Source organism: Homo sapiens, chromosome 19 (assembly GCF_000001405.40).
Source record: "Homo sapiens chromosome 19, GRCh38.p14 Primary Assembly".
NCBI classification, from domain to species: Eukaryota; Metazoa; Chordata; class Mammalia; order Primates; family Hominidae; genus Homo; species Homo sapiens.
Window position 1 is genome coordinate 51419201 of NC_000019.10, and position 17219 is coordinate 51436419.

Consider the following 17219-nt stretch of genomic DNA (forward strand, 5'->3'; position numbering starts at 1 on the left):
GAGACAAGGTCTTGCTCTGTTGCCCAGGCTGGAGTGCAGTGGTGTGATCATGGCTCAGTGCAGCCTCCATCTTCTGGGCTCAAGCGATCCTCCCACCTCAGCCTCCCAACTAGCCGGGACTATAGGCACACACCACCACGCCCAGATAATTTTTGATTTTTTTTTTTGATAATTTTTGTAGAGACAGAGGTGTTTGTTTGTTTGTTTGTTTTTGTTTTTTGAGATGGAGTTTCCCTCTTGTTGCCCAGGCTGGAGTGCAGTAGCATGATCTTGGCTCACTGCAACCTCCACCTCCGGGGTTCAAGCGATTCTCCTGCCTCAGCCTCCCAAGTAGCTGGGACTACAGACATGCGCCACCATGCCTGGCTGATTTTGTATTTTTAGAAAAGATGGGGTTTCTTCATGTTGTTCAGGCTGGTCTCGAACTCCTGACCTCAGGTGATCCACCCGCCTCAGCCTCCCAAAGAGCTGGGATTACAGGCGTGAGCCACTGCACCTTGCTGAGACAGAGTTTCACCATGTTGGCCAGGCTGGTCTTGAACTCCTGGGCTCCAGTGATCCTCCCGCCTCGGCCTCCCAAAGTGCTGGGATTACAGGTGTGCTCCACGGCCTCATCCACTGTATCAGTCGCTTGAGCTGCTGTAACAGCGTGCCCCAGACAGAGGGGCTGAAACAACAACATTGACTTCCTCACAGTTCTGGGACTAGACGTCCAAAACCAAGATGTGGTTCCTTCAGAGGCTTCTGCCTGGCTTGCAGATGCCACTTCTCCCTGTGTTCTCACACAGCTGTTCCCCTGTGGGTGTCTGTTTCCTCAACTCCTGCTCTTATAAGAACTTACAAGAACTCAAGTCATATTGGACTAGGCCCACTCTAGTCCAAATGAGTGACCTCATTTCAGCCGGCCCTCAGTATGCACAGGTCCCACATCCCGGAATTCAACCACCTGCCCATCACGGCATTTAAATACAAAACCAACAAAAGCCAACATAACCATAAAAAACAGCATGAATTAAAAATACAGCATAACAACTATTTACACCGCATTACACTGTATTAGGTGTGATAAGTAACCTGGAGATGGGAGGATGTGCAGAGGTCCCACGCAAACACTACTGTATAAGGCAGCTGAGCATTGTAGATTTTGGTATCCAAGGGGTGGGGATCCTGGAACCAATCCCCAACTAATACAGTGGAACAACTGTATCTCTTTAAAGACTGTCTGCATGTACAGCCACATTCTTAGGTACTGGAGGTTGGGACTTCAACACAGAAATTTGGTGGGGGGAGGGGGGACACAATTCAGACCCTAATATCCACCTCTCCCCATTTTTTTTTTTTTTTTTTTGAGAGAGAGTGTTGCTCTGTTGCCCAGGCTGGAGTGCAGTGGCATGATCTTGGCTCGCTGCAGCCGCTCCCTGTCTGATTCAAGCGATTCTCTTGGTGCAGGCTCACGAGTAGCTGGGACTACAGGCGCCTGCCACCACGCCTAGCTAATTTTCATATTTTTAATTTTATTTTTATCTTTTTTTTTTTTTGAGACTGGGTTGTGCTCTGTCACCCAGGCTAGAGTGCACTGGCATGATCTCAGCTCACTGCAACCTCTGCCTCTCGGGTTCAAACGATTCTGCGTCAGCCTCCCGAGTAGCTGGGATTACAGGCGCCTGCCACCATGCCCAGCTTATTTTTGTATTTTCAGTAGAGACAGGGTTTCACCGTGTTGGCCAGGCTGGTTTCGAACTCGTGATCTCAGGTGACCCTCTCACCTCGGCCTCTCAAAGTGCTGGGATTACAGGCGTGAGCCACCAAGCCCAGCTTCACCTTCCCTTTGATCCCTGCTTCCCTGTGACCTAATCTGGGCCTTCTCTGAGGACACCAGCCTCCTTCCCGCAGGGGAGCTCTTGTGGTGGGACACATCACACCTTCCTCTCCACAGAGCTCAGAAAAGGGCCTCTCCCAGGGAGGAGTGAGGGGAGGAAAGGTGCCTGGGTCCTGGTGGAGGTGGGTCCCTAAGGAGCTGATGATCTCTAGGGCCCCCAGCCTGGGCCCAGCCCCACCTCTGCCTTTGAACATTTCACACCCATGGGATCAGCCGACAGGAGCCAGGAGAGCGGCACCGTCTTCCTCCTCCCGCGGGTTTCTCCACATCGCTGCCCCCTCCCATTCCCCCCTCTTCACTTTTCTGAGTTCCTGTGGTTTCTGTGGCCTCCTCACCACGTCCCCTTCTCCAGCGAGGCCAGAGCCCCCGACGCCCCGACTTGCTCCCAGCCCTTCCTACCCAAGCCGCCCTCCCAGCCTTGGTCAGACAGGACTGGAGAGGCTGCCTGGGGCCCCGGGACTGGTTTCTGGGCAGCCTCAAGTCTGTTTTCTGGCCTGAGAAGGTTCGGGTTTTCCCTGAGCTGCTTCCCTCCAAAACCAGCTCCCTCAATACCAGCCTCCCACCCCCGCACCCGCCTCTCCTTCATTCAGCAGGGGCTAGGCGCCTGCTCTTCCTCCATAATTCCACACGGAGGGGTTTAGGAAGCCCCACCCAGGCTCCAGACCCCGGAGCTGCACGAGGGCACAAGTGGGCGCTGGAAGGAAGGGCGGGGACGGTGGGAGGTGGGGGAGGGAGAGGCGGGGGTGTCTGACAGGGGTCGGGGCAGGATCTCGCCCCGGGGGGCGCAGGTGCGGCGTGAGGACCGCGTCCTGAGGAGGGAGGGGCGAGGGCCAGGGTCCTGGAGAGGATGGAGAGCCCACGAGTGGCTGCAGCTGAGACCCCGAGGGAGCCCAGGAGGTTTTGTCGGAAGAAGGGCGATCTGGACCTTCCCTGACCAGCGTCTTTGTGTCCTTTGAGCTCCGGACCTGGTCCTGGGTTCCTCCCACCTCGGGCTGTGCTGCAGTTCAGGACGCCGCCCCCAGGGGGCGCTCCACCTTCAGAGCAGGCGGCACCGCGGAGCCTCGGGCCCCAGAGCCCGCGCTGTCCATGGTCCTGCAGAAGGGAGGCTCCCAAGGGAACGAGTCCCAGGCTCTGGACACGTTTGCAGACAGTACTCTCTAAAAAGGCTACTTTTCGCCACACATTAGAACAAGATCTCCTCCGGGGGAATCACATTAAAGCAAAAACGAAGTCACCATCGTCACTCCACTTCTCTCATCCCAAACCCACCCTCCCCAAGATATAAAGCCCTTCAAAATATTCACACTCTTTTTTTTTTTTTGACAGAGACTCGCTCTGTCGCCAGGCTGGAGTGCAGTGGTGCGATCTCGGCTCACTGCAAGCTCCGCCTCCCGGGTTCACGCCATTCTCCTGCCTCAGCCTCCCGAGTAGCTGGGACTACAGGTGCCCGCCACCACACTCGGCTAATGTTTTGTATTTTTTTTTTCTTACTAGAGATGGGGTTTCACCGTGTTGGCCAGGATGGTCTCGATCTCCTGACCTCGTGATCCGCCCGCCTTGGCCTCTCGAAGTGCTGGGATTACAGGCGTGAGCCAACGCGCCCGGCAATATTCACACTCTTTACAGCGTTATTCCCAAATGACTTCCACCCAGGCACATTAAGCATGTGATGTCCACATAAGAAAATGCGCTCCTGGGGGCTTTTCAGGTCATTCATCTTTGCTTTGTCTGGATTGGGGTCGTGTATATTTCAGGGGCTCTTAGCTGGGCCTCCGTCCTTTCCTTTTCAAGTCAGAATAACACGTTGCAGGGCAAGAAGAGTGAAATATCACTAGAGGATAGACTTGGATTCACCCTAATTTCTAGTGAAGGAAAAATTTTGCAAGTGCAACACTTTATTGTCAGATATAATAGTGACTTACTGGTGTGTGAGTGTGATATGACACTCACTTCAAGCATTAGTTTTCCAAAATAAGATTCAACTCCTTATGTCAAACCCCTAAGTTGTCTGTGATCTGACACCTGTTACATATGTGCATTTCAGATATTTTCCCCCATCTGTTAACTTTTCTTTTACTCTCCTGTTATTTACAGAACAGCAGGACTCTTGCTCCCCAAAACATGAGTTACCCATGAAATGATCCCCTACTGTGGATGGAAAAGAAGAGCCAAGAAGATAAAAATAGCCCTGGAATAAAGAGAACACTAGGTCCATCACAGGAGAGGGTGAAAGGTAAAGAGCCTTAAAAAGGCCAACCTAGGCCGGCATAGTGGCTCACGCCTGTAGTCCCAGCACTTTGGGATGCCAAGGCGGGAAGATCACCTAAGGTTAGCAGTTCGAGACCAGCCTTGCCGACATGGTGAAACCCCATCTCTACTAAATATACAAAAAAATCAGCTGGATATGGTGTCGGGCACCTGTAATCCCAGCTACTTGGGAGGCCGAGGCAGGAGAATCGCTTGAACCCAGGAAGCGGAGGTTGCAGTGAGCTGAGACAGCACCAGTGCACTCCAGGCTGGGTGACAGAGCAAGAATCCATCTCAAGAAAAAGAAAGAAAGAAAGAAAGAAAGAAAGAAAGAAAGAAAGAAAGAAAGAAAGAAAGAAAGAAGTCAACCTAAATGCAAGTGACTTTCAAGAAGAAACACCAATGCTGTTTAATGGAATATAACAAAATCAAGCAGCCAATCACATAAAAATCACAATGTCCAGTATATAGAGAGAAGAAAATCAGAAAAAAATTACATAAATATCACTTTCAATTGTCCAAATTTGACCAGAACTGTAAATTTACAGATCCAAGATACTCAACCTACTTGAAACAAGATATCACTCTCTCTCTTTCTCTTCTCTGTCTTTTTCTATCACACACACTCCTGCTCTCCACACAGAAAGGGACATAATAATCAAATAATTAAAACTCAGTGACAAACAGAAAATATTAAAATTAGTCAGTGAAAAATGCAAACTTCCAACCAAGAAGTAAAAATTAAAATTAGGCTGGGCCCAGTAGCTCACACCTGTAATCCCAGCACCTTAGGAGGCCGAGGTGGGCAGTTCACCTGAGGTCAGGAGTTTAAGACCAGCCTGGCCAACATGGTGAAACCCTGTCTCCATTAAAAATGCAAAAAAATGGCCAGGCGCAGTGGCTAACGCCTGAATCCCAGCACTTTGGGAAGCTGAGGCAGGCAGATCACGAGGTCAGGAGATCAAGACCATCCTGGCTAACATGGTGAAACCCTGTCTCTACTAAAAATAGAAAAGAATTAGCCGGGCGTGGTGGCGGGCACCTGTAGTCCCAGCTACTCAGGAGGCTGAGACAGGAGAATGGTGTGAACCTGGGAGGCGGAGCTTGCAGTGAGCCAAGATCACACCACTGCACTCCAGCCTGGGCAACAGAGCGAGACTCCATCTCAAAAAAAAAGAAAAAAGAAAAAAAATACAAAAAATTAGCTGGGTGTCATGGCGGGCACCTGTAATCCCAGCTACTCAGGAGGCTGAGAGAGGAGAATCGTTTGAACCTGGTAGGCAGAGGCTGCAATGAGCTGAGATGAAGCCACTGCACTCCAGCTTGGGTGACAGAGTGAGACTCTGTCCAAACAAACAAACAAACAAAAAAACCCAGAAAACTACAGTAGAATGCCCATAAATTTTGCAAGTCAAGGGATTTTAAATACAAAAGGGAAAAAATGTTAACCTAGACCCAATTTCATTAAAAATATCATCCCTGGTTCACACCTGAATCTCAGTTCTTTGGGAGGCCAAGGTGGGCAGATTGCTTGAGTCCAGGAGTTCAATACCAACCTGAGCAACACGGTGAACCCCCATCTCTGCTAAAAGTACAAAAATTAGCCAGACATGCACCTGTAGTCCCAGCTACTCGGGGGTACTGAGGTGGGAGGATTGCTTGAGCCTGGGAGGCAAAGGTCACAGTGAGCCAAGTTGGGGCCACTATACTCCAGCCTGGATAACAGAGGGAGACTCTGTCTCAAAAAAAAAAAAAAAAAAAGGATTATTCCAAAGTGAAAGTAAATGAAAATGTTTCAAAACCACAGCTGAGAGAATTCATCACCAGCATGCTAACACTATAGGAAATGAAGTCTTCAGGCTAAAGAAAAATGATACTGTAGAGAAAATTATATGAACACATAGGAATGAAGAGCAATTAAAATGGTTAATAAGTGAATAAATTTGAAACAGCTTATTCTGTAATAAAACATCTTTTTAAAAAACAAACTCTTTTCAGGCAGGGCGCAGTGGCTCACGCCTGCAATCCCAGCACTTTGGGAGTCCGAGGTGGGTGGATCACAAGGTCAGGGGTTTGAGACCAGCCTGGCCCACATGGGTGAAACCCTGTCTCTACTGAAAATACAAAAAAAAAAAAAACCACTTAGCCAGGCATGGTGGCACGTGCCTGTAATCCCAGCTACACGGGAGGCTGAGGCAGGAGAATCACTTGAACCCGGGAAGCAGAGGTTGCAGTGAGCCAAGACTGCACCATTGCACTCCAGCCTGGGCGACAGAGCAAGACTACATCTCAAAAAAAAAAAAAAAAAAAAAAAAAAAAAGAACTGTTTTCAATAAACATGGAGTTTATACCAACATATTATGGGGATGAATTCGTGGCCTATCAAAATCACATTAAAGTAAGCATGGAGAACAAGATATTGCATGGATTATAACTCAAATCAGTGATAACACATATCAGTCTGTTTCCTCTCCTGCCTTCCCAACCATTCCTATAGAGCCATAAGGAAGAGGTGTGGAAAACAGAGGTGAGGGGTGGAGAGAGGTTGTTCTGCCCAGGAGGTGGGACCGAGGCACCCAGGCGCTCCTTGCTCCAGCCATCTGCAGAGTGAGAGTCTTAGGACACATGGTCTGAAGGACCCTCACCTCCACTGGGGACCTGGAGCCCAGACCTCAGCTCTGCTGTGAGGAGGGAGCTCAGTCACCGCAAGCAGCCGTATCCCCTTGGGAGCCCGTGAGCCTGTGTGGGAAACACAGTTCTGAGAGGAGAGACCAGTGCTGTGGAAGGTGTGCTCTGGGGAGGAGAGGATAGGTGAAGCCACTCAGGGATTTGAGGGCTCAAGTTATAGAACAACTTGAGAAGGGCTTCTCCCCTGTGCAGACATCCAGGTGATGTCACAGGTTAAAAGAAAGCCATCCCCATTATGGCTCCCCTGAGCAGGGTGAGGGGCAGAAGCCAGGAGCCCCACTGCTCTCCAGAAATTTGAGAGCAGGAACAGGCGGTACGGGGAGGGGGCTGGGGGAAGGAAGACAGAGGTGGGGGTGTCCTCAGCCCACTCTTCCCTTGCCTAAGGCGCCCCCACCAGAATCAGGTGTTCTGCTAACACTCACCCTGCACAGCCAGGCTCAGGGAGATGGGGTGGGAGCCCAGCAGGGCCTGAGCCCAGCAGGTGAATTCTCTTCCATCCCCTAAAACCACCTGGGGCAGCTCCAGGACCCGGGGATGCAAGGGTTGGCAGGGGCTCAGGATCAGGCTGCCCTGGGACCAGCTCAGGCTGGCAGAAGGGCTGCTGTCAGCATCACAGACCAGGTGCAGGGACTGCCCTCCTGCACCAGCAGAGAGGCAGCATTGCCCAGAATCTATGGGACTAGGGAAACCGAGAGAGCTGGAGGGGAGGGCTGAGAGGCCCTTCTCTCCCTGCGCCTTCCCCCAGACTCAGGAGAGGAAACTGCGTTTCTGAGACAAGCATCACAAGCAAGGGCAAGTAGGGGCGAAGACCCCCAGCATGCAGGGGTCGGGAGGCTCCTTAATGGTCCCGGGACAGGGGCATGGAAACATGCGGAGGACTTGGCCGTATCGGGACACGGAGAGAACGTCCCAGGACGACCGGCCTTGATGTGCAAAACCGTGGAGGGCACTAACCCTCGTGGTTCTGGCCACTTGGAGGAACCAAGACAGGTGACACACTTGGGCTTTCTCCAGGAGCCACAGGAGCCAGGGGAGGAGCTGAGTAGGGATGTGACTGGGAAAGATTTGGTTAAAGAGAGACTCCTCTTTGGGGCCCGAATTGTGGTCATTGAAGGGAGCAAGACCGGAGGCTGCTAGGCCAGGAGGGAGGCTGCTGCAGGTCCAGGCATCACCCGGGTCCAGGTAAGCAAAGTTAGACTTTGGCTAAGTGGGACTGTGGCTGTGAGAATGGAGGAAGGGAGGGATTTGAGACATTTTCCAGTAGCCAAGTTTGTGGAGCTCTTGCCTCATGGGAAGACTTCGGTGAAATTCTGAGATGTGTAAAGAACTTTCCAGGACATTGACTGAGCTGACTCACATGGGTGGGGGCGCCTCTCAAGGGGAAGTGATTTGTGCTCAGAACAAGCTGCACCAGACAGAAATTTGTGGGCATCTTCCAGGCAGAGGTAGGGCTAGGATACAAACTTCCTGAAAGGGTCATGCAGAGGGAGGCTGGAGGCCTGGGGCGCCACTTTGAGCTAGTAGCCATAGCTGGGGTAAAGTCATTCCAACAAGGATCATTGTTGCCTATTCCATTCATTAATTCCACATTTCCTGGACCCCATTTATTTCTTCTTTGTTCACCATTTACATAAATATTGACTAATGACAATGCCTAGACCTGATTAGATGAAGTGGTCGACAGGGTAATGGCCCCCAAAGATGTCCACTTGCTAATCCCTGTGAAAGGCGTTAGCCAGCTTGCATTAGGCAGACAGTAAGGGAAGGGTCCCCTGAGAACCTCTGACCCACCTGATAAGCAGTTACACCAGATGTTTTGTGCAGATAAGGGAACTTGCACAGGGGGCTTGCCTAAACACCCCAGCAGGGGACTAAGGGCCCACAAACGCACTGGGGGAATGGGGTGGAGCCATCAGGAATTTTCACCTTATACAAACAGGTAACCCAGCCCCATCAGCTTATATAAAAGCCCTTGTGGCTGGTTGCAGTGGCTCATGCCTGTAATGCCAGTATTTTGGGAGGCTGAGGTGGGTGGATCACCTGAGGTCAGCAATTCAAGACCAGCCTGACCAACATGGTGAAACCCCATCTCTACTAAAAATACGAAATTAGCCGGGCACCGTGGCTCACAACTGTAGTCCCAGCTACTCAGGAGGCTGAGACAGGAGGATCGCTTGAACCCAGGAGGTGGAGGTTGCAGTGAGCTGACATCGCACAACTGCACTCCAGCCTGGGCAGCAAGAGCAAAACTCCTACCCCACCCACCTACAAAAAAACACAAAAAAACAAAACAACAACACCTTGTATTCAACTGTGAGGGGGTAACCGAGAACCTGCTTTCAGGAACCCTCTCTTTGCTGAGAGCTTTCCTTTCACTTAATAAATTCTACTCCACTCCATCTTCAAGTGTCCACATGCCTAATTTTTCCTGGTCATGAGACAAGAACCTGGACCTAGCTGAGCTAAGGAGCCAAAAACCCTGCATCACCTGGAAACTGTGAATATGTTGCCATACAAGATAAAGGAACTTTTATCCTTCAGAGCCAACAGCCAAGAGTTGCAAAAAAAAAAAAAAAAAAAAAAAAAAGACAAAGGGACTTTGCAGATGTGATTAAGTTCAAGTTCAAGATCTTGAGATGGGCAGAAGATCCTGGGTTATCCAGATGGGCCCAGTGTGATCACAGTGTCCTTATAAGAAGGAAAGGGGGAGAATCAGAGTCCGAGAGACAAGATGTGAGGATGGAACAAAGGTCAGAGAGGAGAAAAGATGCCACGAAGTTGGCTCTGACAACCAAGAAATGGGCCATGAGCCCGGAAATGCAGGTGGCCACTGAACGGTAGAAAAGGTGAAAGAACAGAGTCTCCTCTGGAGCCTCCAGAAGGAATCAGCCTTAATTTTATAGCCCAGTGAGTCCTCTTCCATCCTTCTGACCTCCAGAACTGTAAGAAAAGAAATTGTCTTGTTTCAAACCACGAATCCTGGGGTAATTTGTTAGAGCAGCAACAGGAAAATAGCACAGGTGAGGACTAATTGCACTGCTTCCTCCCCAGATCCTACAATAAACTCAATGCTATTCTTTCCATTTTATGTAAAAGGACATTAGGGCTGAGGAATTACGGATAATCTCTCTGAGTTGGCGCACGTGGTGGTGATGGATTGAGGATCCAAATAAAGAGTCAAAAAATTATGGAATTCAATGGAGGGCCCCTGAGGCCTGGGCAGGGCAGGTGTGGCTACAGAAAGAGCCCCTGGAAGATGCCTGCCTGACCCTGATCCAGGTTACTCTCCCGTGCAGGGAGCAGACAATAAACCATGAACATAATTATGCAGCTGCGAGTTATTAAGCTTGATGGAGGGGAGCCGGTGCAGTGAGAGAAACAAGGTCCCAACACAATGCAGCCTCTGGGGTCCAGGAGCCCCACTGTTGTGGGGAAATGGGGTCTGGATCCCACGGTAAAGGGACGTCCATAGGAATAAGCGGGGAGGCTGACACAGCCGGGTTCTCAGGTGCGTCTTCCTCATTGGATTCTCCTGGGGCTCTGTCCTGTGAACTTCTCTTCTCTACCTGCAATCAGCTCTTACCCTTTCAAATACCTTTTAATTTTGGTAAAAAGGAAATGCAGAACATAAACATCACCATTGTCATTATGTTTATGTGTACGGTTCAGTTCTGTGAAGCATATTCATTCTGTTGTACAACCAATTTCCAGAACTCTTCCATATTGCAAAATTCACTCTGTACCCACAAAACAGCGACTTTCCATTTTCCCTGTCCTGGGTGCCTGGCAAACACCACTGTACTCACTGTTTCTGTGAATATGACTCCTTTAGAAATCTCAGTAGGTGGAACTGTGCAGTATTTGACTTTTCATGACTGTATTTCCCTTAGGATAATGTCCTCAAGGCCCAGCCTTGTGGTAGCAGGTGTCAGAATTTCTTTTCTTTTTAAGGCTGACAGGTTCAAATGTATGATTTTACCACCTTTTGCTTACTCATCTGCCTCTCCAGAAATCCACCTCTTGGCTCTGGCGAATGATGCTGCCATGAACACGGGAGTATAAATATCTATTCAAGTTCCCACTTTTTTTTTTTTTTTTTGAGACGGACTCTGGGACTCTGTTGCCCAGGCTGGAGTGCAATGACATGATCTTGGCTCACTGCAACCTCTGCCAGTCAGGTTCAAGTGATTCTCCTGCCTCAGCCTCCCGAGTAGCTGGGATTACAGGAGCCTGCCCCCATGCCCAGCTAATTTTTTTATTTTTAGTAGAGATGGGGTTTCACCATGCTGGCCAAGCTGGCCTCAAACTCCTGACCTCAGGTGATCTGCCTGTCTCGGCCTCCCAAAGTGCTGGGATTATACTCGTGAGTCACCATGCCTGGCCCTCAAGTTCCCACTTTCACTTCTTTTCATGTAGACCAGAAGTGGAGTGGCTGGATCCTATGTGAATTCTATTTTTAATTATTGGAGGAATTGTCATACTCTTATCATCCTCTTTCCCCATCATCTCTTGTCATCACTTTATAAAGATTTACTCTAGAGTAGTCCCCCATCCACAGTGGATAGCTTCCAAGACCCCCAGTGGATGCCTGAAACCACAGACAGGGCAAACCCTATATGTGCTACATTTTTATACACACACACACGTATGTATATCGATGATAAATTTTATTTTATTTTATTTTTTTGAGACAGAGTCTTGCTCTGTCACCAGGCTGGAGTGCAGTGGCGTGATCTCAGCTCACTGCAAGCTCCGCCTCCATGGTTCAAGAGATTCTCCTGCCCCAGCCTCCTGAGTAGCTGGGACTACGGGCATGCATCACCATGCCTGGCTAATTGTCTTCTTTGTATTTTTAGTAGAGACAGGGTTTCACCATGTTGGCCAGGATGGTCTTGATCTCCTGACCTCAAGTGATCCACCCACCTCAGCCTCCCAAAGTGCTGGGACTACAGGTGTGAGCCACCGTGCCCAGCCTCCTACTCTTTCTCTTTCTCCTACTCTGGCCTTGTAAGACCTGCCTGCTTCCCCTTCACCTTCCGTCATGATTGTAAGTGTCCTGAGGCCTTCCCAGAAGCAGAGGCTGCTATGCTTCCTGTACAGCCTGCAGATCCTTGAGCCAATTAAGCCTCTTTCCTTTCTGAATTACCCAGTCCCAGGTATTTCTTTATAGCGGTGCTAGACCTGACTATACAATATGTAACATATAGTTTGCAATTTGTAACATTCTACAGGGTACAATTCAGTGACATTAAGCACATTCACCATGTTGTGCAACCACTATTTACCGAATTTCCTCATCATCCCAAACAGAAACTCTGCACCATTTGCACAATCACCCTTCTTCCTTGCCCTGTTCCCCAGCCTCTGATACGCAATTCTACTTTCTGTCTCCATGAATTTGCCAATTCTAGGTAAGGCTACATAAGCAGAATTATATACTATTTGTCATTTTATGTGTGGCTTCTTTCATGTGGCATGTTGTTTCAAGGTTCACCCATGTTATAGCATGTATCAGTTCCATTCAATTTTTAAGGCTAAAGAATATCCCATATTATGGATATGGAACCTTTTTTCTATCCACTTATCAGTCAATGGACGCGAGTTTTTTTTTTCCCCACCTTTTAGCTCTTGTAAATAATGCTGCTATGAACATTGATGTATAGGTATCTGTTTAAGTTCATGCTTTCAATTCTGGGAACATATCTAGGAATCGATGGCTGGATTACACTGTATTTCTAGGCTTAACTTTCGGAGAGAATTCCAAAGAGTTTTCCACAGGGTCACACCATTTTACATGCAGTGCAAAGGGGCTCCCACTTGTCCATATTCTTGCAAACAATTAGTATTTTTTTTTCTTTTGAGACGGAGTCTCAATCTCTCGCCAGGCTGGAGTGCAGTGGCACCATCTCGGCTCACTGCAACCTCCACCTCCTTGGCTCAAGCAATCCTCCCACCTCAGCCTCCCGAGTAGTTGGGACCACAGGTGCTCACTGCCACGCCCGGCTAATTTTTGTATTTTTTGTAGAGATGAGGTCTCACCATGTTGCCCAGGCTGGTCTTGAACTCCTGACCTCAAGCAATTCTTCCTCTTTGGCCTCCCAAAGTGTTAGGATTATAGGCGTGAGCCACTGTGCCCAGCTTATGCTTTATATTTTAAGAGTTCTAGTGACAGTGCAGTGGCATCTTATGTTTAATTTTTAAAAATTTACTTAAAGTTAGATATGGTTGAATTCATTCTTTATCATATGTAATTTTATGTGGGTTGACCGATGCATATAGTTATATACACAACCGCTGTGAAGACAATGAAAAGTGTCATTACCTGAACATTTCCTCCCTCTGCTGACTCTAGGTAGTCAATCCTCCCTCTACACTTAGTCCCTGAGAAAACACGGATCTATTCTCCATCCCTGCCATTTTGCCTTTTTATAGAATGTCATATAAATGGAATCATACAAAATGTATCCTCTAAAATCTGGCTTCATTTACTTGGCATAATGCTTTTGAGGCTCATCTATGGGGCTGGGTATAAATCTGTCATTTTAGTTTAATTGTTGACTGGTGCTCCATTGTTTTCATGGTCTCTCATTTTGCATGTATTTGCCATTTGCGGAGCATTGCAACTGTTTTCAGGTTCTGGTGACTCTAAAATAATGTTGCTATAAACATTCCATTCAACTTTCTGCGTGTGAACATAAGTTTTTAATTCCCTTGAGTAAAAACCTAGGAGTCGAGTGCTTGGTCAGACGTACACTTGGTCAAGTGTAAGTTTAAATTTATACAAAATTGACAAACTATTCTCCAAAGTGTATATACCATTTTGTATTCCTACCAGCAGTAGACATGAGCTCTGATCACTTCACATCCTTGCTAGCATGTGATATCATCCACATATTTTAAAATTTCTTGTTACCTTTGTTGTACTTTTCAGTCATTTTTCTTAGGTATGTAATTCTACCTCATTCTTCTTCTATTCTACAATTACCTAATGACAAATTATATTGAGGCTATTTTCACGGCCTTGTTCGCCATCTGCTTTTCTTTTTTGGTGAGGTGGCTATGAAATCTTCAGTAGCTTTTTTCTTAATTGTGGTAAAATATACAGAAGAAAAAAATTACCGTTTTAACTATTTTTCAGTGTTTAGAGAAGTTGCACCAAGTACACTCACGTTGTTATGAATCACTATGATTTATCTCCAGAAGTTTCTTCACCTTCCCAAACTGAAACTGCATCAAAGAGGTGAAAACCCCCTATTTCTTTCTGATCACAGCCCCTGGCAAGCATGGCTCTACTTTCCGTGTCTGTGAATTTGCCTCCTCTACACACCTCATATAAGTGGAATCATACAGTGTTTGTCCTGCTGTGACTGACTTAGAATATATTTAAGGTTCATCCACGCTGCATCATGTGCTAGCTTCTCCTTCTTTTTTTTTTTTTTTTTTTTTTTTGTTGTTGTTTGAGACGGAGTTTCACTCTTGTCGCCCAGGCTGGAGTGTGATGGCGTGATCTCAGCTCACTGCAACCTCCACCTCCCAGGTTCAAACAATTCTCCTGCCTCAGCCTCCTGAGTAGCTGGGATTACAGGCACCTGCCACCAGGCCCGGCTAATTTTTTTTTTTTTTTTTTTTTGAGACAGAGTTTCGCTCTTGTTGCCCAGGCTGGAGTCCAGTGGCGTCATCTTGGCTCACTGCAACCTCCACCTCCCAGGTTCAAGCAATTCTCCTGCTTCAGCCTCCCGAGTAGCTGGGATCACAGGTACGTGCCACCACACCTGGCTAATTTTGTATTTTTAGTAGAGATAGGGTTTCACCATGTTGGTCAGGCTGCTCTCAAATGCCTGACCTCAGGTGATCCACCCGCCTCGGCCTCCCAAAGTGCTGGGATTACAGGCGTGAGCCACCGTGCCCGGCCTGTATTTTCTTTTCTTTTTTTTTTTTTTTTTAGTAGAGATGGGGTTTCACCATATTGGCCAGGCTGGTCTCGAACTCCTGACCTCAGGTGATCCACCTGCCTCGGCCTCCCAAAGTGCTGGGATTACAGGTGTGAGCCACCATGCCTGTCTCCTTGGTTTTTTTGTTTGTTTTGTTTTTTGTTTTCTTTTTCTTTTTCTTTTTTTTTGAGATAGGGTCTTGCTCTGTTGCCCAGGCTGCAGTGCAGTGGCATGATTGGGCTCACTGAAACCTCTGCCTCCCAGGTTCAAGCGATTCTGCTGCCTCAGTCTCCCGAGTACCTGGGATTACAGGCACATGTCATCATGCCTGGCTAATTTTTATATTTTTAGCAGAGATGGGGTTTCATCATGTGGGCCAGGCTGGTCTAGAACTCCTGACTTCAAGTGATATGCCCACCTCGGCCTCCCAAAGTGCTGGGATTACAGGCGTGAGCCACCATGCCCCAGCCCAGCTTCTCCTTCTATTTTAAGGCTGAGTAATATTCAATTGCATGTATACAATACACTTTGTTTATTCATTCACTTTTTAGGAATAGCAGGGTTGCTTTTCCCTTTTACCTACTGTGAATATGCTTCTGTGAACACAGATGCATAAAACTATGCTCAAGTTCCGGCTTTTGATCTTTTGGGCCATATACCCAGAGGTGAAATTGCTGGATCATAAGATCATTCTATTTTTAATTTTTTTGAGGAACCCCACTACTACTCTCTAGAGCAACTTCACCATTTAACTTTCCCATCAGCAATGCACAAGAGTTCCAATGCATAAGAGATCACATGGACAGCTCAGCAAGCTGAATAATGGCCACCCAAAGAAATACAGTCTCAGCTCCTTGAACTTCTAAATATTACCTTACAAATAAAGTGTCTTTGTATAATTTTTTTTGAGACAGTCTCACTCTGTTGCCCAGGCTGGAGTGCAGTGGTGCGATCTCAGCTCACTGCAACCTCCGCCTCCCAGGTTCAAGTGATTCTCCTGCCTCAGCCTCCTGAGTAGCTGGGATTACAGACGCCCGCCGCCACACCCAGCTAACTTTTGCATTTTTGGTAGAGACCAGGTTTCACCATGTTGGCCAGGCTGGTCTCGAACTCCTGACCTCGAGTGATCCACCAGCCTCAGCCTCCCAAAGTGCTGGGATTACAGGCATGAGCCACCATACTTGGCCACTGTGCAGAGAATACTGTAGCCACATGGAATACATGTGGTTAGGGCACTGTGTTAGCTAGTCTGGGCTGCCATAGCAAAATACTATAAATTAAGCCTCCTATAAACAACAGAAATTTATTTCTCACAATTCTGGAGGTTAGAAGTCCAAGGTTAGAAGATCAAGTTGTCAGATGATTTGTTTTCTTGTGAGGCTCTGTTTCCTGGCTTGTAGATGCCACCTTCTCACTGTGTCCTCACATGGTTGAGAGACAGCAAGTTCTGTGGGGTCTCTGCTTATAAGGGCACTGTATTAGTCCGTTTTCACACTGCTGGTAATGACATACCTGAGACTGGGCAATTTACCAAAGAAAGAGGTTTAATGGACTTACAGTTCCACGTGGCCGGAGAAGCCTCACAATCATGGCAGAAGGTGAAAGTCATGTCTCATATGGCGGCAGACAAGAGATGAGCTTGTGCAGGGAAACTCCCCTTTTTAAAACCATCAATCTTGTGAGAATTATTCACTATCATGAGAACAGCACAGGAAAGACCTGCCTCCATGATTCAATTACCAGCCGCAATGTCCCTCCCACAACACGTGGAAATTCATGATGAGATTTGGGTGGGGACACAGCCAAACCATATCAGGCACTAATTCCATAGTGGGTCCCCACCCTCATGACCCCATGTAACATAATTACCTACAAAAAGCCCCATCTCCAAATACATCACATTGGTGGTTAGGGCTTCAACATATGAATTTTGGGGGAACATAAACATGCAGTTCATAACAGGCATTTTACTGAAACCTTGTCATCTCCCATGCCATGAGTTTAGATCAACAAATAATCATGCGGAAAAAAAATCTATATAGAAATTTCTTACAGCAAAGCCTCTGCTCATTTTTTCGATAATCTCATTTTTTTAAATTGCAAGGAACAGAAATGAAAACCGATAGCTTAATCTGGAAAAGAAGGGTTTTATTAAAAAAACACGTTTGCTTAATTTTTGGCCCAGGCAGTGGGGAATCTGGGAACATCTCCTAACTCAAGGTCAAGATCAGCACATCACTGATATCCAATGTGACCCTCAGGGTGCTGTTTCTTGCTCTCCGCATGGTGGGCTGCAGGTGCCTGAGCCATCTTCATTCTCTGGCTAGCAATGTTCGTGCAATGTGAGGTCTCCCCAGCTCAAGGCTCATGCCGTTCCTGCAGCTGAAAGGGAGAGCAACACCTCCATCCTGTAAGCTCCAACAGCATCTTCCCGACAGCCACGAGGAGCCACATCCAGTTCTTTCCTCCATGTT